This window comes from Homo sapiens, chromosome 19 (assembly GCF_000001405.40).
Source record: "Homo sapiens chromosome 19, GRCh38.p14 Primary Assembly".
Taxonomy (NCBI): Eukaryota; Metazoa; Chordata; class Mammalia; order Primates; family Hominidae; genus Homo; species Homo sapiens.
The window spans coordinates 47771457-47797246 of record NC_000019.10 but is presented as its reverse complement, the minus strand read 5'-3'; the positions used below and the strand labels follow the sequence as shown (position 1 = coordinate 47797246).

Genomic DNA, 25790 nt, shown 5'->3' with positions numbered 1-25790 from the left:
TGGTCTCAAACTCCTGACCTCAAGTGATTCACCTGCCTTGGCCTCCCGAAGTGCTGGGATTACAGATGTGAGCCACCACGCCCGGCCTATTCACTTTTGTACACTCAGAATTTCTTGCTAGAGAAGTGCTTTTATTTTATCATTACAGAACTGTATCTTGGATAAAGTGGTAACTCTTGTAGCTAACATAAGAAAATATCTACAGAATAAACACACACACAGACACACACACACACACACACACACACACACACACTCAAACTCCTGGGATTAATTCATGAATTTGGCAAGGTTCCAGGATACAAAATCAATAAACAAAAACCAATTGTATATCTTGGTGTTGTGTGGGAATTTTTTTTTAAAAAAAGAAACAAATTATATTTCTATATAATAGCAACAAAAAATTGGAAAATAAGTTTTTTAAAAACACTATTTACAAAAGCATTAAAAAACATAAAATAGGCTGAGTGTGGCGGCTCATTCCTGTAATCCCAGCACTTTGGGAGATCGAGGCAGGAGGATCGCTTGAGGCCAGGAATTCAAGACCAGCCTGTACAACATAGCAAAACCCCATCTACACAAAAAAATAAAAAATAAAACTAGCTGGGCATGGTGGTGCACAGCTGTCGTCCCAGCTACTTTGAGGCCAGGAATTCAACACCAGTCTGTAAAATAAAGCAAGACTCCATCTACACAAAAAAAATTAAAAATAACACTAGCTGGGCATGGTAGTGCACAGCTGTAGTCCCAGCTACTTGGGAGACTGAGGTAGGAGAATTGCTTGAGCCCAGGAGTTTGAGGCAGCATCACTGCACCACTGCACTCCAGCCTGGGCAACAGAGCAAGACCCTGTCTCAAAATACACACACACACACACGCACGCATGCACACACACCTATAAAATGCCTAGGAAGAAAGTAGGATGTGCAGGACAGCTACGACCACAATTATCAAAACATTGCCCGTAGAAGTTAAAGAAGACCTAAATAAGGCCAGGCGCAGTGGCTCACGCCTGTAATCCCAGCACTTTGGGAGGCCGAGGCAGGCAGATCATGAGGTCAGGAGATAGAGACCATCCTAGCTAACACAGTGAAACCCCGTCTTTACTTAAAAAAAATACAAAAAAATCAGCCGGGCCTGGTGGCAGTCCTCTGTAGCCCCAGCTACTCGGGAGGCTGAGGCAGGAGAATGGTGTGAACCCGGGAGGCAGAGCTTGCAGTGAGCAGAGATGGTGCCACTGCACTCCAGCCTGGGCTACAGAGCGAGACTCAGTCTCAAAAAAAAAAAGAAAAAAAAAAAAAGACCTAAATAAACAGAAAGGCATCTGATGTTCATGGATAGTCTCCCCAAATCTGCCTATAAATTCATTGCAATCCCAATCAAAATCTCAGTCAAGTTTTCTGATAAAACTGATAAGATGATCCTAAAATTAGACAGAAATGCAGATTTAGAATAGCCAAATAATCTTGAAAAAGAACAAAACTGGAGAACGTATACTACCTAATTTCAAGATTTATTATAAAGCTACAGTAGTCAAGAAAGTGTGTTATGAGCATAAAGATCAACAAAGAGATCAGTAGAATAAAAGAGAAAATCCAGAAATAGATCCACATATGCAATCAACTTGTTTTGAACAAAGTATCAAGTCAATTTGATGAGAGGATGGGGAGTTTAACAAATGGTCCTGGGCCGGGCGCGGTGGCTCACACCTGTAATCCCAGCAGTTTGGGAGGTTGAGGCGGGCAGATCACAAGGTCAAGAGTTCGAGACCAGCCTGGCCAATATGGTGAAACCCCGTCTCTACTAAAAATACAAAAAATTAGCCAGGCGTGGTGGCACATGCCTGTAATCCCAGCTACTTGGGAGGCTGAGGCAGGAGAATTGCTTGAACCTGGGAGGCGGAGGTTGCAGTGAGCCGAGATCAGGACACTGCACTCCAGCCTGGCGACAGAGAGAGACTCCCTCTTTATTTTTTTTTATTTTTTTTTTTTATTTTTGAGACAGAGTCTAGCTCTGTCGCCCAGGCTGGAGTACAGTGGCGCGATCTCGGCTCACTGCAACCTCTGCCTCCCGGGTTCACGCCATTCTCCTGCCTCAGCCTCCCGAGTAGCTGGGACTACAGGTGCCCGCCACCACACCCGGCTAATTTTTTGTATTTTTAGTAGAGACAGGGTTTCACCGTGTCAGCCAGGATGGTCTTGATCTCCTGACCTCGTGACCCGCCCACCTCAGCCTCCCAAAGTGCTGGGATTACAGGCGTGAGCCACCACGCCCAGCAAAGACTCCATCTCAAAAAAAAAAAAAAAAAGGTCAAAAACAAAAATTAACCTTGTCTTTTCACAAGATGCTGCCGAAAGCGAAGGAAGCTCCTGCCTCTCCTAAAGCCCAAGCCAAACCGAAGGCTTTAAAGGCCAAGAAAGCAGTGTTGAAAGCCGTCCACAGCCACACAGAAGAGAAGATCCGCAGGTCACCCACCTTCAGGCGGCCCAAGACAGCGCGACTCCGGAGGGAGCCCAAATATCCTCAGAAGAGCGCCCCCTGGAGAAACAAGCTTGGCCACTCTGCGATCATCACGTTTCCGCCGACCACTGAGTCCGCCATGAAGAAGACAGACGACAACAACACACTTGCCTTCATTATAGATGTTAAAGCCAAGGAGCACCAGATCAAACAGGCTGTGAAGAAGCTCTGATTCGGCCTGACGGAGAGAAGAAGTCACATGTTCAACCGACTCCTGGTTACAATGCTTTGGATGTTGCCAACAAAATTGGGATCATCTAAACTGAGTCCAGCTGGCTAATTCTCAATATATGTATATCTTTTCACCATAAAAAAGTAAATAAATAAAAATAAACTGGGCTGGGCACGGTGGCTCACCCCTGTAATCCCAGTACTTTGGGAGGTTGAGGCGGGCAGATCACCTGAGGTCAGGAGTTCGAGACCAGCCTGACCAACATGGAGAAACCCCATCTCTACTAAAAAATTAGCCGGGCGTGGTGGTGCATGACTGTAATCCCAGCTACCCGAGAGGCTGAGGCAGGAGAATCACTTGAACCCGGGAGGTGGAGGTTGCAATGAGCCAAAATCACGCCATTACACTCCAGCCTGGGCAACAAGAGCAAAACTCTGTCTCAAAAAAAAAAAAAAAAAACAAAAACAAAAACAAAAAAAACCTTGACTCCCACCTCACTCCAAATGAAAAGCTACAACCAGGAAGCTTCTAGAAGCATCCATAGGAGAATATTTTTACAGTCTTGGAGTGAGCAAGGATTTCTTAGACCAGGCTGTGCACAGTGGCTCATGCCTGTAATTCCAGCGCTTTGAGAGGCTTTGGCAGGAGGATGGCTGGAGCCCAGGAGTTCAAGACCACCTGGGCAACATGGCAAAACCCTGTCTCTACTAAAAATACAAAAAAAGCTGGGCACGGTGGCTCATGCCTGTAATCCCAGCACTTTGGGAGGCCGAGGCCGGAGGATCACCTGAGGTCAGGAGTTCGAGACCAGCCTGACCAACATGGTGAAACCTTGTCTCTACTAAAAATACAAAAATTAGGTGTGGTGGCTACTCCAGAGGCTGAGGCTGGAGAATTGGTTGAACCCAGGAGGTGGAGGTTGCAGTGAACCAAGATCGTGCCACTGACTCCAGCCTGGGTGACAGAGCCAGCCTCCCGTCTCAAAAAAAAAAAAAAAAAAAAAAAAAGATATGCAAAAAGGCCAGTAAGCCCATGACATCAAAAATCATCAGGGAAATGCATATTAAAACTAAAATGGACCACATGCAGTGGCTCACGCCTGAAATCCCAGCACTTTGGGAGGCCGAGGCGAGTGGATCACAAGGTCAAGAGATCGAGACCATCCTAGCCAACATGGTGAAACCTCATCTCTACTAAAAATACAAAAATTAGCTGGGTGTAGTGGTGCATGCCTGTAGTCCCAGCTACTTGGGAGGCTGAGGCAGGAGAATTGCTTGAACCCAGGAGGTGGAGGTTGCAGTGAGCCAAGATCATGCCACTGCACTCCAGCCTGGTGACAGAGCAAGACTCCGTCTCAAAAAAAAAACTTTGGGAGGCTGAGGCAGGAGGACTGCTTGAGACCAGTCTGGGCAATATAATGAGACCCCATCTCTATAAAAATATTAAAATTAACTGAGCATGATGGTACACACTTGTAATTCCAGCTACTTAGGAGGCTGAGATGGGAGGATCACTAGAGCCCAGGACAAGGACACAGCAAGCCTTGTGTCCAGCCTCAGTGACAAAGCAAGACCCTGTCTCGAGAAAAATAATAAATAAGAAATAAACATATGTCCACAGGAAGACTTGTACAAGAATATTCATAACAACTTTATTCATAAAAGACCAAAATAGAAACAGCCCAAGTGAATGGTTAAGCAAATTATGGTATGTCCATACAATGGACTATAACACAGCACTGAAAAGGAACAAGCTGTGGATACACATGTGATATGGAAGAATCTCAAAATCATTTATGTTGGGTGAAAAAAGCCAGACACAAGAGGTTGTATGTGATGCAATTTCATTTCTATGAAATTCTAGAAGATATGGAAATAATCTGTAGTTACAGAAAGCTCTATATGATACTATTTCATTTATATGAAATTCTAGAAGAGACAGAAGTAATCTATAGTTAGAGAAAGCAGATTGGTGGTTGCCCAGGCAGGTGTGAGAATGAATATAAAATGACTGCAAAAAGGTCCCAGGGAAATTTGGGGGCTGATGGATGCTTCTTGTTTGGGTGCTGGTATCATAGTTGTATACTTTGTTGTTGTTGATCCTTTTTTGAGACGGGTCTCACTGTGTCACCCAGGCTGGAGTGCAGTGGCACAAACATGGCTTACCGCAGCCTTAAGCTCTCAGGCTCAAGTGATCCTTCCACCTCAGCCTCCCAAGTAGCTAAGACTACAGGTGCACACCACCATGCCCAGCCAATTTTTTTTTATTTTTTGTAGAGACAGGGTCTTGCTATGTTGCCCAGGATGCTCTTGAACTCTCGGGTTCAAGTGATACTCTTGCCTCAGCCTCCCAAAGTGTTGGGATTACAGGCATGAGCCACCGCACCCAGACAGTTGCATACATTTATCAAAGCAATTATACTGAACACTTAAGACAAGTGTGTTTTATCTAATGTAAAGAAAGCATCTATCTTTAAAAGTTGATGTTTTAAAACTCTGTGAATTGGGCCTGGTGCGGTGGCTCATACCTGTAATCCCAGCACTTTGGGAGGCCGAGGCGGGCAGATCACCTGAGGTCGGGAGTTTGAGAACAGCCTGACCAACATGGAGAAACCCCGTCTCTACTAAAAATACAAAATCAGCTGGGCGTAGTGACACATGCCTGTAACCCCAGCTACTCGGGAAGCTGAGGCAGGAGAATTGCTTGAACCTGGGAGGCAGAGGTTGCAGTGAGCAGAAATCGCGCCATTGCACTCCAACCTGGGCAGCAAGAGCGGAACTCCATCTCAAAAAAATAAAATAAAATAAAAATAAATAAATATAAAATAAAAAATTAGCTGAGTGTGGTGGTGCGTGCCTGTAGTCTCAGCTACTTGGGGTGCTGAGGCAGGAGAATCTCTCGAACCCAGGAGGCAGAAGTTGCAGTGAGCCGAAATCATGCCACTGCACTCCAGCCTAGGTGACAGAGTGAGACTCCATCTCAAAAAAAAAAAAAACTGTGAATTTTTAATATGAAAGATTTTTTGGTGAAAGGGAGGGTTTGGAGAAGGGTTAGATGAGTCAAATCATGTAAATCTTAACACTGATTATGGTCAGTGATCAACAAACCATATCTGCCATTATTATAGCTAATAATAGCATCACATACAGAATGTTCTTGGTCTTTTTCTGTCAGTCTCTCTCTTTTTTTTTTTTTTTTTGGGATGAAGTCTCTCTGTCACCCAGGGGCTAGAGTGCAGTGATGCGATCTCAGCTCAGTGCAACCTCTGCCTCCCAGTTTCAAGCAATTCTCCTGCCTCAGCCTCCCAAGTAGCTGGGAATACAGGCACGTACCACCATGCCATTTTTGTGTTTTTAGTAGAGTCGGGGTTTCACCATGTTGGCTAGGCTGGTCTTGAACTCCTGACCTCCAGTGATCCAACCACTTTGGCCTCCCAAAGTGCTGGGATTACAGGCGTGAGCCACCTCGCCTGGCCCACATCTTCTTCAATTATCTTGTTGTTGTTGTTTTTTCGTCTGTTTGTTTGTTTTTTGAGTCAGGGTCTCACTCTGTCGCCCAGGCTGGAGTGCAATGGGTGTGATCTCAGCTCACTGTAACCTCCACCTCCTGGGCTCAAGGGATCCTCCCACCTCAGCCTCCCGAGTGGCTGGGACCACAGGCGCGTGCCACCACGCCTGGCTAATCTTTTGTATTTTTGGTAGGAACGGGGTTTTTTCACATTGCCCAGGCTGGTCTCGAACTCCTGACCTCCAGAGACCCTCCCATTTCAACCTCCCAGTGTTGAGATTACAGGCGTGAATCACTGAGCCCGGGCTCATTCTTCAATACGCATCCAGTGACCATGTAAGTACTGTTAACCCACTCTGGTGGGGGTGGGAGGACTGTTCCCTCTATACCATCCCCTCCTCATCCACCACCCCGCCCTCCCACTGCCCGCCGTCAGATGGAAGCACCCCCACCTCTTCCTTCTGCTACTCTGCCTCTCTGCTGCCCCCTGGTGGCAATCCTGGCCCTTGGGTCTCCCCGGCGCTGGTTCTCTGACCCTGTCCTGGTCCCATGTAGCAAGTGTTCCAGTCCTCTTAAGCCAGGGCCAGTCTCAGCAGAGCAGAGAGAGAATTAGATCCGATTTGGAGGCAGGAGACACCCGACAGGCTACTGGGGGAGGGGGCGGGGACAGAGAGCTTGGATAAAACAAAAGCCCCTCCTGCTTTGGGAGGTCGAAGCGGGCAAATCGCCGGAGCCCAGGAATTCGAGACCAGCCAGGCAACATAGCAAGACCCCGTTTCTATAATAATATTTTTTAAAAGAAAAGAAAAGAAACCAAAGGCTGAACAACTTGAGCTTACAAAGAAGAGCTGCAATGAATTGAAAGACGTCAGATGCATGAAAGTCCATTGGTTCACAATGGTCCTCAAAAAAGAGAGAAAAAAAAAACTAGAGAAAGTTGTTGAGGCTCCAATTTAATATTCTGAAAACTGCTAAATTAAAAAGAATCTCCTGGCCAGGCGCAGTGTGGCTCACGCCTGTGTGGCCGGGCACAGTGACTCACACCTGTAATCCCAGCACTCTGGGAGGCCGAGGTGGGTGGATCACCTGAGGTGAGGAATTTGAGGCCAGCCTGGCCAACATGGTGAAACCCCGCCTCTACTAAAAATACAGAAAAAGGCCAAGTGCGGTGGTTAACGCGTGTAATCCCAGCACTTTGGGAGGCCGAAGCGGGCGGATAAACAAGATCAAGAGATCGAGACCATCCTGGCCAACATGGTGAAACCCCATCTCTACTAAAAATACAAAAATTAGCCGGGCGTGGTGGCGCATGCCTGTAATCCCAGCTACTCGGGAGGCTGAGGCAGGAGAATCGCTTGAACCCAGGAGGCGGAGGTTGCGGTGAGCCGAGATCTTGCCACTGCACTCCAGCATGGGGGACAGAGCAAGACTCCGTCTCAAAAAAAGAAAAAAGAAAAAAAAAGAGTTTAATTGGATTATTTGTAACACAAAAGTTAAATGCTTGAGGGGATAGATAACTCATTTACCCTGATGTTATTAGTATGCATTGGATGCCTGTATCAAAATAGCCCATGTCCCCCATAAATATATACACCTACTATGTACCTAGAAAAATTTTAATTTTTTTTTTTTTTTTCACTCTCACCCAGGCTGGAGTGCAGTGGCGCGATCTCAGCTCACTACAACCTCCGCCTCCCGACTTCAAGCGATTCTCCTGCCTCAGCCTCCCGAGTAGCTGGGAGCTACGACGCCCGGCTCATTTTTGCATTTTTAGTAGAGACGGGGTTTCACCATGTTGGCCAGACTGGTCTAGATCTCTTGACCTCGTGATCCGCCCTCTTCGGCCTCCCAAAGCGCTGGGATTACAGGCGTAAGCCACCGCGCACGGCTAAATTTTAATTTTTAAGTTTTAAAAAGAAAGTGTCATGTCACCAATTCAAAGATGGTGATTCACTTGACTACCCTAAAATCTAGATGACCGGAAGTGATTCCTGGTGACCCACAGGGATTCCACAGTGATTCCTGGTCTTCCGCGGTGATCCGAGGTGAACTGAGAAGATGCAGTTCTCAGACGCGGCCACATGCTGTCGCTGTTAGAAAGGAATTCACGGTGTCTCCCCTTTTCAGGCTGGGTGATGGTCAGGCTGAATTCTTTGAAGGTGTGAATTGTCTTGATTACGCCAAAATCCGATGCTGGCGTTTTCATGCATACGGTACGATTAAAATAAGAGCCCTGGTAGATATTTGTAGTGCTCACCAAGTTTTCAAGTTCTCATCCCTTTCCTAAACACAGGAAGACTAAGTTCCCCAGCCAAGTTCTGCAGGTAGGCAGGGGTTTCGTGGTAGGGGTTCTCAAAGTGGGCGGGGCTGCGTAACTGGTTCTGGCCAATGGGCTGTGACGAAAGCTGATACGCATCACTTCCTGGCTGATGCTTTTAGCAGCCAATGCCTGCTCTGAAGGCCGAAGCGGGAAAGATCGCTTGAGGCCAGGTTCGAGACCAGCCTGAGCAACATAGCAAGGCCTCCCACCCTGCCCCATCCTCGCCCAGTTCCCCAACAAAATGAAAAAAAATAAATTAGCTGGAAGTGGTGGTGCGCTTGTAGTCCCAGCTACTACGGAGGCTGAGGTGGCAAGATCGCTTGAGCCCAGGACTTCCAGGCTGCAGTGAACCGTGATCATGCCACTAACACTCCAGCCTGGGCGACACAGCGATACCTTCGTCTCTTTAAAAAAAAGAAAAGCAGGCCGGGAACAGTGGCTCACATCTGTAATCCAGCACTTTGGGAGGCCAAGGAGGGTGGATCACCAGGTCAAGACTTTGAGACCAGCCTGGCCAACACGGTGAAACCTCGTCTCTACTAAAAATACAAAAATTAGCTGGGCGTGGTGACGTGCGCCTGTAGTCCCACCTGGTCAGGAGGCTGAGGCAAGAGAATCGCTTGAACCCCGGAGGTGGAGGTTGCAGAGAACCAAGATCATGCCACTGGACTCCAGCCTGGGCAACAGAGCAAGACTCTGTCTCAAAAAAAAAAATGAAAGAAAAGAGAAAAGAAAAGCCAATGCAAGATTGCCTACGCTGTCTCCGCTCTGTCTACTAAAGCTGCTTTGGGGCCAGGTGCAGCAACAGAATAACAGAATTGCACAGTCCGATAACAACTAGCCACATATTACATGGGTTGAATGTTATTTTTCTTTTTTTTTTTTTTTTTGAGACAGGCACTCACTCTGTCGCCCAGGCTGGAGTGCAGTGGTGCCATCACAGATCACTGCAGCCTCGACCTCCCGGGCTCAAGCAATCCTCCCACCTCAGCCTCCCAAGAAGCTGAGATTACAGGCATGCACCACCATGCCCAGCTGTTTTTTGTATTTTTTGTAGAGACAGGTTCTCACTATGTTGCCCAGGCTGGTCTCAAACTCCAGGGCTCAAGTGATCCTCCCAGCTTAGCCTCCCAAAGTGCTGGGATTCCAGGCGTGAGCCACTGCGCCCGGCCAAATATAATCATTCAGTTCCTTGGTCGTGTCACATTTCAAGTTGTCACCAGTAACATGAAGTCAGTTGCTATGGTGTTGGGCAGGGCAGATATGGAAAAATTCCATCATGCTAGCCGGCACGGTGGCTCACGCCTGTAATCCCACCACTTTGGGAGGCCGAGGTGGGTGGACCACCTGAGGTTAGGCGTTTGAGACCAACCTGGCCAACGTGGTAAAACCCCATCTCTACTAAAAATACATTAAAAAAAAAATTAGCCAGGCATGGTAGCTACAGGCAGGCGCCTGTAATCTCAGCTACTTGGGAGACTGAGGCAGAACAATTGCTTGAACCCAGGAGGTAGAGGTTGCAGTGAGCCAAGGTCCCACCATTGCACTCCAGCCTGGGCAACAAGAGTGAAACTCCATCTCAAAAAAACAAAAAAAGAGAAAAATTCCATCGTGCAGAAAGTTCTATTGGACAACATTGCGCTAGATTCCTGACTAGAAGCAGGAGAACTGTTGCTCTGGAGAGGGCTTTGCATGTGCTGTGTTCATCCATGGAGATTTAGGTTCGTTCTGCTTTAGGTTCGTTTAGATTTAGGTTCCCACTGAAGCATAAGCCAACCTAGCCCAGCCCTGCCAGAATTCTTGCTTAAACAAAGAACTGAAAAGTCTTGTGTCATTTAAATGATGAATGGGTGCCACAGTGTGCCTTGGCTAACAGGTGGAGTGCTGACAGCTGAGGATGTTGATACTGGGCTGACCCCAAATGTGAGACCAGTTGGCAAATGGGATTACGGTCAACCTCCATTGAGTCTCAGATGTTCAGATGCCACTCTCTGTGATCTCTCTCTACCTAGCTTAGAACTACACCACCAGGGCCCGGTGCGGTGGCTCACGCCTGTAATTCCAACACTTTAGGAGGCCGAGGCGGGGGGATCGCCTGAGGTCAGGAGTTTGAGACCAGTCTGGCCAACATGGTGAAACCCCATCTCTACTTGAAAAAAGAAAAACAAAACACACACACACACACACACACACACAAAATTAGCCAGGCGTGGTGACATATGCCTGTAATCCCAGCTACTCAGGAGCTGAGGCAGGGGAATTGCTTGAACCAGGGAGGTGGAGGTTGCAGTGAGCTAAGATCGCGCCACTACACTCCAGCCTCAGCGACACAGCGAGACTCCATCTCAAAAAAAAAAAAAAAAAAGAACTACACCACCAGGCCAGGCTCCGTGGCTCACGCCTGTAATCCCAGCATTTTGGGAGGCCAAAGGAGGAGGATCACTTGAGGCCAGGAGTTTGAGACCACCTGGGCAAAATAGCAAGACCCCATCTCTAAAAAAAAAAAAAAAAAAGAGCCAGGCATGATGGCATGTGCCTGTGATTCCAGATACACAGGAGGCTGAAGCAGGAGGATCACTTGAGCCCAGGAGGTCGAGGCTGCAGTGAGCCATGATCCTACCACAGCATTCTAGCCTGGGTGACAGAGAACCTGTCTTAGAAAAAAAATAAAGAACTATACCACCAAAGGACTGTCATACTAAGAAAATCCTCAGAATCATTAGAAATGAAGCCATGTGGGGGCTTGTTTCTTGTTGCTATTGTTCATTTGGTTTGGGGTTTTTTTGTTTTTTGAGACAGTGTCTCAGTGTGTCGCCCAGGCTGGAGTGCAGTGGCACGATCTCAGCTCACTGCAACCTCTGCTTCCCAGGTTGAAGCGGTTCTCAACCTAGTGGCAGGTGGCGAGTAGCTGGGATTACAGGCACCTGCCACCACACTTGGGCTAATTTTAGTAGAGGTGGGGTTTCACCATGTTGCCCAGGCTGGTCTTGAACTCTTGGCCTCAAGCAATCTGCTCACCTTGGCCTCCCAAAGTGCCGGATTACAAGCGTGAGCCACTGCACCCGGCCTCTTGTTGCTATTGTTGATGGCTGTCTTGTGTTTCCCAGATGTCACTGAGCAGAGATCCATGGAATGTGGTGGGTTTCAGGAGTCGCAGCATTTGACTTGGGGGAGGAACAATTTTATTTCTGTCCTCCCAGAATGAGTGGGTCAAGGTTTGAGAGTGAAACAGTTTAGAATTGTACCTGATTTGAGGAAAGTGTCCATGCACTTCATGGCTATCAATAGTTACAAAAACAGCCGGGCATGGTGGCTCACGCCTATAATCCCAGCACTTTGGGAGGCCAAGGCGGGAGGATCCCCTGAGGTCAGGAGTTCAAGACGAGCCTGGCCAACATGGTGAAACCCTGTCTCTATTACAAAATCCAAAAATTACGTCCGGCGCGGTGGCTCATACCTGTAGTCCCAGCACTTTGGGAGGCCGAGGCGGGAGGGTCACAAGGTCAGGAGTTTGAGACCAGTCTGGCCAACATGGTGAAACCCCATCGCTACTAAAAATACAAAAAATTAGCTGGGTGTGGTGGCGGGCATCTGTAATTCCAGTTACATGGGAGGCTGAGGCAGGAGAATCGCTGGAACCGGGAGGCGGAGGTTGCAGTGAGCCAAGATCGCACCACTGCACTCCAGCCTGGGCGACAGAACAAGACTCCGTCTCAAAAAAAAAAAAAAAAAAGAAAGAAAAAGAAAAAGAAAAAGATTAGCCAGGCATAGCAGTTCACACTTGTGGTCCTAGCTACTCGGGAAGCTGAGACGGGAGAATCACTTGAACCCAGGAGAGGGACACTGCAGTAAGCTGGGATCGCACCACTGCACTCCAGAGCAAGACTGTCTTAAAAAATAACAACCTCAGCATTGCAGTAAGGTGCTTCCCTACAGAGGGTTGGTGCACTGAGCACTCAACACGTGGTTGCTAATTTCTGGGACGGGGTCCTGGAGGGAGGAGGCACAGGGGTAAAACAAGATACACTCCTCACAGGCACATTCAGTTAAATTCATCCAATATTTATTGAATCGTGAACGGTTGCAAACGTTGCCACAATCAGAAACCCACCCATCCTGATGCCTCTCTTGGCTTCCCCTTGAGAAGGATGCCTGAGGCGGGATGTCCCCCCAAACTCCAGGGGACAACTGGGGAAGACATGGGGTATGCAAAGAGATATGATGAAACCACGGGACAGGAGGAGGGTGGGGTGGTGTGGATTCCGGGGAAGACACATACACACAGACTCTCCCGCTCAGAGGCAAAGACCGGGGGCGTCAATCTCTGCCCCCAACAGCAGCCACGAGAACATCAGGGAAAGACCAGGTGTCCACAAGACTTTTCAGTCCTTCCTATCATGAAGCGTCTGCTGAGAGGGGCTGGGTCAAGGTCCCTGGACTGTGGAGAGAAAAAGAGGTGGTTGGGGTAGGGAGTCAGTTTGCAGGAACAGAGGCCAGGCGTGGGGCCCATGTTAAAAGGAAGAAAGATAGCCGGGTGTGGTGGCTCACGTCTGTAATCCCAGCACTTTGTGAGGCTGAGGCGGGCGGATCACTTGAGCCCAAGAGTTTGAGACCAGTCTGGGCAACATGGTGAAAAAAACCCATCTCTACAAAAACTAGAAAAATTAGCTGGGCGTGATGGTGCACAACTGTAGTCCCAGCTACTTGGGAGGCTGTGGCAGGAGAATCGCTTGAGCCTGGGAGGTGGAGGTTGTAGTGAGCTGAGATCGCGCCACTGCACTCCAGCCTGGGTGACAGAGCGAGACTCTGTCTCAAAAAAAAAAAAGAATTCAAAGCCTGCATGGTGGCACCCCACCCCACGCTCAACAGCAACAGTCCACAATGCATTCAGCTGATGCAGCTTTGGAATTAGGCAATTCCATTTTTCTTTTCCTTTATGTTAGAGGGATTTGCTTTGTTTCAGACCTGCACATAAGGCAAGATATCGTTTCTGCATTACTTCAAATTGGCACGTCCCAATTCACATTGAACATGACCTCATTCTGCTCTGGTAAAGAATTTTAGGAAATGGAACTTGAGTTTAACGCATTTGAAAACTAGTTTTCTGGCACAAGGCACACTGGGAGCTGGTACTTGGGTCCACAGTGTGTTGGGATGGGATACTCTGTTCTAGATCAACATGGAATGGGAACTGGTGCTGAAGGTTAGAGGGGAGTAAAAAGTATGGCCAGGCGCAGTGGCTCACGCCTATAATCCCAGCACTTCGGGAGGCCGAAGCAGGCGGATCACCTGAGGTCAAGAGTTCAAAACCAGCCTGGCTAACACGGTGAAACCCCGTCTCTACTAAAAAATACAAAAAATTAGCCAGGCGTGGTGGCAGGCGCTTGTAGTCCCAGCTACTTGGGAGGCTGAGGCAGGAGAATGGCGTGAACCCGGGAGGCGGAGCTTGCAGTGAGCCGAGATCACGCCACTGCACTCCAGCCTGGGCGACAGAGACTCCGTCTTAGAAAAAAAAAAAAAAATTTGCCCAGCATGGTGGCAGACATCTGTAATTCCAGCTACTCACGAGGCTGAGACACAAGAATCCCTTGAACCCAGGAGGCAGATGTTGCAGTGAGCCGAGATCACACTACTGTACTCCAGCCTGGGCGACAGAGCGAGACTCCACCTCAAAAAATAAACTATGCTCCAGGCCCTGCAGTGCCAGAGACCAGAAAAAGGGCTAGTAACTGTTCTAGAATGGGTTGGGTTTCACGCTTATCTGGACCATACTGGCTTACAAACTGGAAAATCAGACTCAGAAGGTGCTGGAAAGTAGTTCTTTGTTCCTGAGGTTCATATAGAAATTGCCACTTGTTCCACAATGTATTAGGCTGGAAACAATACTTGGTTCAGAGTGCTTAAGGAGGCCAAGCACGGTGGCTCACGCCTGTAATCCCAACACTTTGGAAGGCCAAGGCAGGTGGATCACCTGAAGACCAGCCTGGCCAACAGGATCAGACCTACTAAAAATACAAAAATTAGCCGGGCATAGTGGCATGTGCCTGTAATCCCAGCTACTTGGGAGGCTGACACAGGAGAATTGCTTGAACTCGGGAGGCAGAGGCTGCAGTGAGCCGAGATCGCGCCACTGCACTCCAGCCCGGGAGACAGAGCAAGACTCCATCTCAAAAAAAAAAGAAAGAAAGAAAGAAAAACAGTGATAAGGAACCAGTAGCCAACTCCAGGAACTAGTGGTCAATTCTAGTGCTTAGGAGCTGGTTCACATTTTTCAATTGCTGGGTTGGGAAGGGGGGCTCAGGTTTACAGTGTGTTGGGAGCTGGTGGTGTATTTCATTCTCGGCTCTATGGGGAGAACTGGGAGTCAGCTCTAGGGTTTTTTTGGAGCAGACAATCCATTCTAGAGTTAGCATTTGTTTCTAGAGCATTCTTGGACTCATGTTCAGTTCCAAAGTGGGTAAGTTTCTGGAGCTGGATCAGGTCTGGAATATTCCTAGAACTAATTCTCAGGTTCAGAGCCCGGTGATAATTAGTGACCTACTCGAAATTGTGGAGCAAGGAAATTCTGTCTCAAAACATGCTGGGAACTTGGCCGGACGCTGTCACATGACCTGCTGGGTTGGGAACTGTTTCTTGGCAATGGGACAAAGACCTAGAGTTCCGGATTCTGAACCGTTGGGTTGCTAGCACTTTTCATTCCCAAACCAGGAGAGCTGTTTTAGGGCAGCCCTCTGACCCCACCACCAACTCAGCTGTCATCTTGCATACCCCATCTCAGCTGTCATCCTGCATACCTCTGACCCTATCTCAGCTGTCATCCTGCACACCTCTGACCCCATCTCAGCTGTCATCCTGCACATCTCTGACCCATCACCATCTCAGCCGTCATCCTGCACACCTCTGACCCATCACCATCTCAGCCATCATCCTGCACACCTCTGACTCATCAGCATCTCAGCCGTCATCCTGCACACCTCTGACCCATCACCATCTCAGCCGTCATCCTGCATACCTTTGACCCATCACCATCTCAGCTGTCATCCTGCACACCTCTGACCCATCACCATCTCAGCTGTCATCCTGCATACCTTTGACCCCATCTCAGCTGTCATCCTGCATATCTCTGACCCATCACCATCTCAGCTGTCACCCTGCACACCTCTGACCCCATCTCAGTTGTTGTCCTCCACCAACCGGGTCTAACTTTATCCCGCTCGCTCTGGGGACACACGTGATGTCCCCCCCATCTCCCAGGCTCTCCACCCTGGGCCAAGGAGTCAGAGCATGGGGCAGGGAGAAGATCCAAAGGGTGGTGTCCCTGTCTAGTGGGCCCCCTCACCTCTGCCTTCAGGGCGCATTAGCCCTGAGCCAAGGCGGCTTTGATGGCGGCCACCAACTTCAGAAACTTGCTTTCTGTGTCCACGTAGCCATCGCCTTTCTAGGGAGGGGAGGAAGAGGGAAGGGGTGAGCTGGGACCGAGACACCAACCTCAGCCCCAACCCCATGCTAGCCCCAAAACCAGGCAGGACGGACAGACAGACATACCTTCTTAGAGTGAATCAACTTCCCGGCTACCATCACTTCAAAGAACCCGGTGGCCTGGGGAGTTCCCTCGCCGCACTGAGGAAAGGGGGTAGGGGAGATGTTGGAGGGGCTAAGATGTCCTCTTGGGGAGACCCTCCCCTTCCCAGGGGGATGAGAACATGGGTGAAGGGCGTAGGGCTGACCTAACCCCCCTGCAGTGCCATCCAGGCCTAACGGACCGACACAGTGGCTGTGCTCAAGTCTTTCTCCCCATCCCAAGACTCACGATGTCCAGGCGGCCGGGGAACTCATCTTCTAACTTCTTCTTGAGCTGAAGATACTGAAAACGCGGTGAGAGGTCACAGCAGGGGTCATACCAGTCAGCCCCCTCCCAATATGCACTCTACCCCTCCCCAGCTCCCAGGAATGCCCCCCGGGCATCCACTCTGCTTACCTTGGACTTGTAGCCTCAAGCGCCACTGGTAGGAGAGTCCAAGACATTGGGGCCCAGGGGAGAGAGGGAGAAGTGGGGGATCGGGGAGAGGAGGGTAGACACAGGCGGTGTGGGGAGAGAGCAAGATGGGGCCAGGAAGAAATAAAGAGGAACACAGATGACCAAGCAGAAGAGGTGACAGATGCCCTCAAGAGAGAAGACAGGCACCAGCCAGGCAGAGTTTTGGGACACAGCACAGGGGGTGGCGCGGGGACACACAGAGACACACAGAAAACCAACACCAAGCAAGAGACAGAGAAGGGGGAGGGGAAAAAGGGGAGAGAGGAGACAAGGAGACCACAAATACGAGAGACGGGGACGGGGGAAAACCAGGAGAACTGGATTAGGAGAAGAACAGCACACGTAAGGTCCCCACCCACTCCCTGTGCCCACCACCCTCACCCACAGCCCTCGCAGCACTCCAAGGAAAACCCTGCGGCTCCTGGATTCTTACACCACGCCCAGCTAATTTTTGTATTTTCACCATGTTGGCCAGGCTGGTCTCGAACTCCTAACCTCAGGGGATCGGCCCGCCCCAGCCTCCCAAAGTGCTGAGATTACAGGCAGGAGCCACCGCACCCGGCCCCGCAGCTCCTAGATTCTGAACACCTTCCCAGTCCCCAGGGTGAAATACAGGCTCACCCAACCCCCACAGCAGGCTATTTCGGGACTGGAATCTGGTGTACAGGCCTGGTAGGCGTCTCAAAATGTCACTCTTGCCTCTGCTTTGTCGAGCAGGCAGAGACGTTGGAAAGCTGCCGACAAACCCAGGTTCCAGTTACCCCTGTCACCTGCAGTCCAGACTTGAAGCTACTGACCTGCCCCCACCCCAGTCCCAGCCTCAGTTTTCTCACCTGTAACATAGAACTAAAATTCCTCTCTTTAATTTACTTTTTTTTTTTGAGACAGAGTCTCGCTCTGCTGTCCAGGATGGAGTGCAGTGGCACGATTTCAGCTCACTGCAACTTCCGCCTTCCGGGCTCCAGTGATCCTCCTGCCTCAGCCTCCCAAGCAGCTGCGACTACAGGAGTGCGCCACCATGCCCGGCTAACTTTTTAAGTTTCTGTAGAGACGAGGGGGGGGTCTCCCTGGGTTGCCCAGGCTGGTCTCGAACTCTTGGGCTCAAGCGATCCACCCGCCTCAGCCTCCCAGTGTTTGGATTACAGGCGTGATCAACGGCACCTGGCCTAAAATTCCCCTCTCTTAAGGGATTCCTGGGAGGATAAATTCATTGAACACGTATTTATTAAATACCTACAGCATGCCACACAGTATTAGGTGCTGGGGAGTGGAGAGAACGTAATTTATATCCTATCCTATTATACCCTTCCTGAGACTTGCAGAAATTAAGCGTGTTCGGTATTGACACAGAGCCTCCCTCTTGCCACAGACGGAAAACTGAGGCCAGAAAAGGAGTGGGGTTCGTGGCCAAGGGAACCCACTGGGCAGAGGCCAACAATTCAAGTGCTTCTGAAACACAGGCTGAGACATTCTCGAACCTTCTGGGCTCTCACTGTCCCCACCCCGCGACTGTTCGGGATATTGGGGGAGGGGAAGCCTTAGGGTGGAGGAGCCTTAGGTCCCTTTACAAAGCTGACCCCCAGCCCCTTCCCCAGCGGAGCCCCGGAGTCGGGGGTTCGAAATTGACACACACTCGTCTCAGCCCCACCTTTTATAACCCGAGATGCCCAGCGTGTCACAAGTCGAAGACGGGGCCTAGGGACGACCGCCCTCTGTTTTTCGCCCCTCCGTACGCCCACCCCACCCACATACAGGGGCTCCCTTTTCCCATACAAGGGCTCCCATGGGTCCTCTCCCCGGGGCTCCCTGACCCCGGCTCCGAGAATCGGGTCCCGGCGGGGGTCGGGGACGGGGGCCGCTGGCCGCTGGGCTTACCAATAAACGACTCGGACGGCGAGAGCCATGGCTCGGGGCTGCCACATCCGCTGAGGAGCGGACGCCCGGGCCACACTAACCTCCCACCTGGACGCGCTAGGTCTGCGCGAGTGCGGCGGGAACCTGCGCAGAAAGGATGGAGCCTCGGCTTCCCCTGGCGCCAACCAATGCCAGGGAGGGGCGGTGGGCGGTGGGCGGAGAGGCGCCAAGGCGGAGGATAAGGAACCCGCGACCCGCCAGCCCGAGGCCCCCACACAAGTCTCCTTCCCATCCTCCTGTTGGGCTGGAGAGAGTCTCGATACAGGCAGTCCCCGGGGGAAGCCCTCCGCGCGTCCCCTCCCAGGTCCCCCCGGCCAGAATGGTACGGCCCACGGGGGCGGTGATTTACGGCTGGCCGCTCCCAGCTGGACCCGGAATCAGCCTCAAGGGTGGTCTTTTCACTGCGTGGGCTTGGGGACGGCGCGGTGGGGACAGAAGCAGGGCGCGATTCTTGAGTCCCTCACCTCCCCTGGAGAGGGCGAGGGGGCGAGAGGGGAAGGATTCGGGGTAGACCAGGTGAGGGAGGAGACAGGGAGTTGAGGGGGAGGTTTTCAGGGAGCGGTCCAGGGCCCACAGTTGCCTTATAAAGACCTGCAGCCGCAGGGCGCGGTGGCTCACGCCTGTAACCCCAGCGCTTTGGGAGGCAGAGGCAGGAATTCAAGACCAGCCTGGGCAACATAGCCAGACTGCGTCTCTACAGAATAATAATAATAATACATTAGTGGCTGGGTGCGTTGGCTCACGCCTGTAATCCCAACACTTTGGAAGGCCGAGGCGGGCGGATCACTTGAGGTCAGGAGTTCAAGACCAGCCTGGCCAACATGGAGGAACCCCGTCTCTATTAAAAATACAAAAATTAGATGGGCGTGGTGGCGCGTGCCTGTAGTCCCAGCTACTCGGAAGGCTGAGGCAGGAGAATTACTTGAACCTGGGAGGCGGAGGTTGCAGTGAGCCAAGATCAGGCCAATGCACTCCAGCCTGGGTGACAGAGCGAGGCTCCACCTCAAATAAATAAATAGATAATAAATCAGCCGGGCGTGGTGGTGTGTGCCTACAGTCCCAGGCTACTTGAGAGGCTTAGGCAGGAGGCTCGCTTGAGCGCAGGAGTTTGGAAGCTGCTGTGAGCCGTGATTGCACCACTGCACTCCAGCTTAGGCCACCAAGCAAGACCCTCTCTAAAAAAACAAAAGGCCTGCTGCGGCTGGGCACGGTGGCACATACCTGTAATCCCAATGCTTTGGGAGGCCGAGGCAGGAGGACTGCTTGAGCCCAAGAGTCTGAGACCAGCTGGGGCAACATAGCAAGACCCCATCTCTACAAAAACTTTTAAAATTAGTCCGTGTGGTGGCATGTACCTGTACTCCCAGTTACTGGGGAGGCTGAGGTGGAAGGATCACTTTAGCCCAGGAGTTTGGGGCTGCAGTGAGCCGTGATTGTGCCACTGCCACCCCAGCCTGGACAACAGAGTAAGACACTGTCTCGAAAAAAGAAAGAAAGGAAAAGGCCTGGCCAGGCACAGTGGGTCACACCTGAAATCCCAGCACTTTGGGAGGCCAGGGTGGGTGGATCACCTGAAGTCAGGAGTTCGAGACCAGCCTGGACAACATGGCAAAACCCCGTCGCTACTAAAAATATGAAAATTAGCCAGGCGTGGTGGCGCATGCCTGTAGTCCCAGCTCTTCGGGAGGCTGAGGCAGGAGAATCACTTGAACCCAGGAGGTACAGGTTGCAGTGAGCCAAGATCACGCCATTGCACTCCTGTTTGGGCGACAAGAGCAAAACTCAACTCCATCTCAAAAAAAAAAAAAAAAGGAAAAGGAAAAGGCCTACTGCCGGACCTGGCACAGCCTGGTCATTCATTACAGAACAATAGTCACTCCCCATGAACCCTCTCCGTGCAGAGGGGATCGTCATGGAAAGTGCTAGAAACAGGCAGTTGAGTTGAGGAGTGAGGGTGCAGGGGCTTATCTCTGAGCCTGTTTCTCCATTTGGAAGTTGGGTGTAATTGCCTACAGGAAATGTTCACTCATTTAACAAATAGGTACTTCATAACCACCTGCAGTCCCAGTTTCCAGGGATACAGCAATGAATAAATAAACAAAGTCCCTTCCTTCATGGGAGTGATCTGGCAGGTAGAGACAAAGGGCAGGAAACAACATGAAAACAGCACTTCCATTAGATGGTTGATGTGAGCAGTAAGCGAGTTTATACAGGTAGGAAGAACTAGAGCTCTGACTGGCACACGGGGATAACTCAATAAACTCAGCCTGATGAGGTGGCTCACACCTGTAATCCCAGCACTTTGGGAGGCCGAGGCAGGCAGATCACCTGAGCTCAGGAGTTCAAGACCAGCCTGGCCATCATGGTGAAACCCTGTCTCTACTAAAAATACAAAAATTATCCCAATGTGGTGGTGCACGCCTGTAATCCCAGCTACTTGGGAGGCTGAGGCAGGAGAATCACTTGAACCCAGGAGACAGAAGGCAGTGAGCTGAGATTGCACCACTGCGCTCCAGCCTGGGCGACAGAGCGAGACTGTATCAAAAAAAAAAAAAAAAAAAAAAAAAGGTTAACTCTATCTGGGATTTCCCTGTCCCCAGATCCCCTAGTCTTTACCTCTTAGAACCCTAAGCAAAGTTCAAGTCGACTCCACCCACCTCAGTCTGATCCCCCTGATCTTGGGAGGATTTAATGAGCAAGTGCATGTAAAGCAACACAGGGCTGGGCAAAAAGTGAATGACCCACAAATAGAGCTATCTTCTGTGACTCCCAGAGCCCTCAACAAAAACTCAAACCTCTGCCTGGGCAACATAGTGAGACCCCATCTCTATAAATACAAATTATATATATAGATATGTATATACACAAAAATATATATACAAAATAAATATATACATACCATATATATTTTTTTGTTTGTTTGTTTGTTTGTTTTTTGAGACGGAGTCTCACTCTGTTGCCCAGGCTGGAGTGCAGTGGCACAATCTCGGCTCACTGCAACCTCTGCCTCCCAGGTTCAAGCAATTCTCCTGCCTCAGCCTCCCAAGCTGGAGCTACAGGCATGCGCCACCATGCCCAGCTAATTTTTGTATTTTTAGTAGAGACAGGCTTTCATCATGTTGGCCACACTGGTCTCCAACTCCAGACCTCAAGTGATCTGCTCACCTCGGCCTCCCAAAGTGCTGGAATTACAGGCTTTGAGAACCGGGCCCGGCCCCAGCCAATTTTTTAAAATATTTTGTAGAGACAAGGTCTTGCTATGTTGTCCAGGCTGCTCTCAAACTCCTGGGCTTAAGTGATGTTCCTGTCTCGGCCTCCCCAAGAGCAGAGATTACAGGCATGAGCTACCTCTCCAGGCTCAAATTTCCGAATTTTTTAAGGACACCAGTCATGATGGTTTAGGGACCATCCTACTCCAGTATGACCCCAACTGATTATATCTGCAACGACCCTACTTCCAGGTAAGGTCACATTCTAAAGTACGGTGGGTTAAGACTTCAATATGCCAATTTTGGGAGTGGACCCAATTCAACCCATAACAACATCATTCAGGCTGGGCGCGGTGGCTCACGCCTGTAATCCCAGCACTTTGGGAGGCCAAGGTGGGTGGATCACGAGGTCAGGAGTTCGAGACCAGCCTGGCCAACATGGTGAATCCTCGTCTCTACTGAAAATACAAAAATTAGCCAGGCATGGTAGCGGGCACCTGTAGTCCCAGTTACTCCGGAGGCTGAGGCCGGAGAACGGCGTCAGCCCGGGAGGTGGAGCCTGCAGTGAGCAGAGATCGCGCCACTGCATTCTAGCCTGGGTGACAGAGCGAGACTCCGTCTCAAAAAAAAAAAAAAAAAAAATAGAGATGGAGCCAGGCGTGGTGGCTCACGCCTGTAATCCCAGCACTTCAGAAGGCCAAGGCGGGCAAATCACTCGAGGCCAGGAGTTCAAGACCAGCCTGGTAACATGGCAAAACCCCATCTCTACTAAAACTAAAAAAAAAAAAAAAAAAAAAAAATTAGCCGGACCTAGTGGTGCATGTCTGTTGTCCCAGCTACTCAGGAGGCTGAGGCTCGAGAATCGCTTGAACCCAGGAGGCAGAGGTTGCAGTGAGCTGAGATCATGCCACTGCACTCCAGCCTGGGTGACAGAGGGAGACTCCATCTCAAGAAAAAATGAAAACTAAAAATAAATAAAAATAAGAATAGATATGAGGTCTCACTATGTTGCCCAGGCTGGTCTCAAACTCTTGGGCTCATGCAACCCTCCTACCTCGGCCTCCCAGAATGCTGATTACAGGCACGAGCCATCATGTCCGCCCCATGTGTTCATTTTTAGATCTGTAGGACAGTCATGGTTTTCCCTTTTTTCCCATAATTATCTTGTAACAACATTATCCTCAAGAAGGCCCTCTCTAAGCCCCTGGCTCCTCCATCGCTGGCCAAGCCACTGTGGTTGTCACAGGTCCCGTGCCCTCACTGATGTCCTCAGCACACTCTGCAAGTGGCCGGGCTCAATGCAAAAGCTCACAGGACCTTTTGTTGACCAGGCTCAGGGCTGAGAACTTGCCAGGGGCCTCAAGAGAGAAGGGACATCACTGCCTCTGCCACTGTGAACAAAAGGGCCTCTGTTGCCCAGAAGTGGGGGATGCTGGAGGAATTAGTAATGACTTCTGGGCTGGGAGGCCATCCCCCTCCCCTTTTCTCTCTCTTTCACACACACAAACACACACATGACAAATGGTAACACACAAGTGATCTCCTTCACCCATTTACACAATTGCACATCCAGACAAACCCAACCCAGAGACACAACACATCAAACACCTTTATTCAGCCACACAGCTATACAAAAGCACACCTTGTTCTCAATACATGACAGCCCTGGCCAAGCGCAGTGGCTCATGCCTGTAATCCCAGCACTTTGGGAGGCCGAGGTGGGCGGATCACTTGAGGGCAGGCAGGCATTCAAGACCAGCCTGGCCAACATGGTGAAACCCCGTCTCTACTAAAAATACAAACTAGACGGGTGTGGTAGCGGGCGCCTGTAATCCCAGCTACTCGGGAGGCTGAGGCAGGAGAATCGCTTGAACCCGGGAGGCAGAGGTTGCAGTGAGCCAAGATTGCATCACTGCACTCTAACCTGGGCAACAGAGTGAGACTCTTGTCTCAAAAATAAAAAACAAACAAACAAAAAAATTCTACTACATTAGGTAGGGAGAGAATGGGCAGTTTTCACAGGTTGAAGACACAAGGCACACTCCCAACGTTTTAAAGGTTGTGAATATAAGCAAATTCCAAATGCATATTTCCAGCCCAGGAATTTTCTCTGAATTCCAAATTTTTACCTCCAACTGCCTACTTCACATCTATACTCGGGCGTCTAATGGGCATCTCAATCACGAGTTCCCATTTCTCCCCTGCACCTGCCCCACCTCTGAGCCCCTCCTTCCTCAGTCTTCCCCATCTCAGGCAATGGCAACTCTAGACCAAGTCCAGAAACCTTGGAGTCACCTTTGGCTCTTTTTTATTCCCCTTGTACCTCGGCCAGTTACGGTGGATCTACTTTCAAAATATATTCCTAGGCTGGGCGCGGCGTGACTCACACCTGTAATCCCAACACTTTGGGAGGCCGAGGCGGGCAGATCACCTGAGGTCAGGAGTTCGAGACCAGCCTGGCCAATATGGTGAAACCCCGTCTCTACTAAAAATACAAAAATTAGCTGGGCATGGTGGCAGGCGCCTGTAGTCCCAGCTACTCAGGAGGCTAAGGCAGGAGAATCACTTGAACCTGGGAGGCAGAGGTTGCAGTGAGCCGAGATCACGCCACTGCACTCCAGCCTGGGTGACAGAGCAAGACTCCATCTCAAAATAAATAAATAAATAAACGATACAAACGATACACGTAAGCTAAAATGTACCATTAGGGATATTTTGTGCATTGACACTGTTTTGCAGCCATCACTCCTGTCTAGCTCCAAGATATCTTCTTCACCCTAGACGTTGCCCCGTATTCATCAAGCAGCCCCTTTCCACTTCTCATCTCCCCAGGAGTCCCTGGCTCCATGAATCTGCTTTTTGCCTTAAAGGATTTGCCTGTTTTGGATATTTCACATAAATGGACTCGTACAACAGGTGACCTTTTGTATCTGACTTAGCATAACGTTTTTGGGTTTTTTGTTGTTGTTGTTTTGAGATGGAGTCTCACTCTGTCGCCCAGGCTGGAGTGCAGTGGTGCGATCTCAGCTCACTGCAACCTCCGCCTCCTGGGTTCAAGTGATTCTCCTGCCTCAGCCTCCCGAGTAGCTGGGATTACACGCGCCCACCACCACGCCTGGCTAATTTTTGTATTTTTAGTAGAGACGGGGTTTCACCATGATGGCCAGGCTGGTCTCGAACTCCTGACCTCAAGTGATCCACCTGCCTCGGCCTCCCAAAGTGCTGGGATTACAGGTGTGAGCCACTGCACCCGGCCTAGCATAACGTTTTTGAGGTTCACACACATTGTAGCACGTATCCACCTCACAGTTTTTGCATTTACTGTGCCCTCTGCCTGGAACAGTTTTCCTTCAGATAATTGCCAGTTTCTCTCCTCGCTTCCTTCATATCTTTGCTCAAATGTCACTTTTCTTTTCTTTTCTTTTTCTTTCTTTTTTTTTTTTTTTTGAGATGGAGTTTTGCTCTTGTTGCCTGGAGTGCTGGACAACAAGGCTGGAGTGTAGTGGCACAATCTCAGCTCACTGCAACCTCCGCCTCCCGGGTTCAAGCGATTCTCCTGCCTCAGCCTCCTTAGTATCTGGGATTACAGGTGCCTGCCACCACACTCAGCTAATTTTTATAAAAGTAGAGACGGGGTTTCACCATGTTGGCCAGGCTGGTCTCGAACTCCTGACCTCAGATGATCTGCCCGCCTCAGCCTCCCACCAAGTGCTGGGATTACAGGCCTGAGCCACCATGCCTGGCCAAAATGTCACTTTTCACTGTGACCTCCCCTGACATCCTATTTAAAACTGCAACCCCTCCCCCAACATTCTGTGCCCCCTCTTCCTCATGGCCCTCGTCACCTCTGACATTCTATGTATCTTACCAATAATGATTTTGGTTTTTTTTTTTTGAGACAGAGTCTTGCTCTGTTGCCCAGACTGGAGTACAGTCGCATGATCATGGCTCACTGCAACCTCGACCTCCTGGGCTCAGGTGATCCTTCCAACTCAGCCTCCCAGGTAGCTGAGACTACAGGTGCACATCACCATGCCTGGCTAATTTTTGTATTTTTTTCACAAAGATGGAGTCTCACTATGTTGCCCAGGCCAGCGTGAAATTCCTGGG

The 25790-nt window shown here is 50.1% G+C and overlaps 1 protein-coding gene and 1 pseudogene across 1 annotated transcript, besides 3 other annotated features; one reads left to right on the top strand and one right to left on the bottom strand.

Annotated features, from left to right (window-relative positions):
• Positions 2345 to 2781, top strand: RPL23AP80 (ribosomal protein L23a pseudogene 80; annotated as a pseudogene).
• SELENOW (selenoprotein W) lies at positions 12565 to 18544 on the bottom strand. Its single transcript, NM_003009.4, has 6 exons — positions 18433 to 18544; positions 16498 to 16522; positions 16330 to 16383; positions 16065 to 16139; positions 15859 to 15957; positions 12565 to 12957 (listed from the first exon to the last, which is right to left on the bottom strand). Exons 1-5 carry the CDS (start codon positions 18459 to 18461, stop codon positions 15877 to 15879), a joined length of 264 nt encoding a protein of 87 aa, NP_003000.1. The 5' UTR covers positions 18462 to 18544; the 3' UTR covers positions 12565 to 12957; positions 15859 to 15876.
• Positions 15594 to 16179: an enhancer, noted in NCBI's record as "H3K4me1 hESC enhancer chr19:48284325-48284910 (GRCh37/hg19 assembly coordinates)". NCBI's record gives its function as "activates a minimal SCP1, AML or CMV promoter by ChIP-STARR-seq in naive H9 embryonic stem cells {active_cell/tissue: H9 hESC(naive)}" and the evidence as "EXISTENCE:reporter gene assay evidence [ECO:0000049][PMID:30033119]".
• Positions 18247 to 18386: a silencer, noted in NCBI's record as "silent region_10870". NCBI's record gives its function as "represses an Ori minimal core promoter by ATAC-STARR-seq in GM12878 lymphoblastoid cells {active_cell/tissue: GM12878}" and the evidence as "EXISTENCE:reporter gene assay evidence [ECO:0000049][PMID:35858748]".
• Positions 18397 to 18656: a silencer, noted in NCBI's record as "silent region_10869". NCBI's record gives its function as "represses an Ori minimal core promoter by ATAC-STARR-seq in GM12878 lymphoblastoid cells {active_cell/tissue: GM12878}" and the evidence as "EXISTENCE:reporter gene assay evidence [ECO:0000049][PMID:35858748]".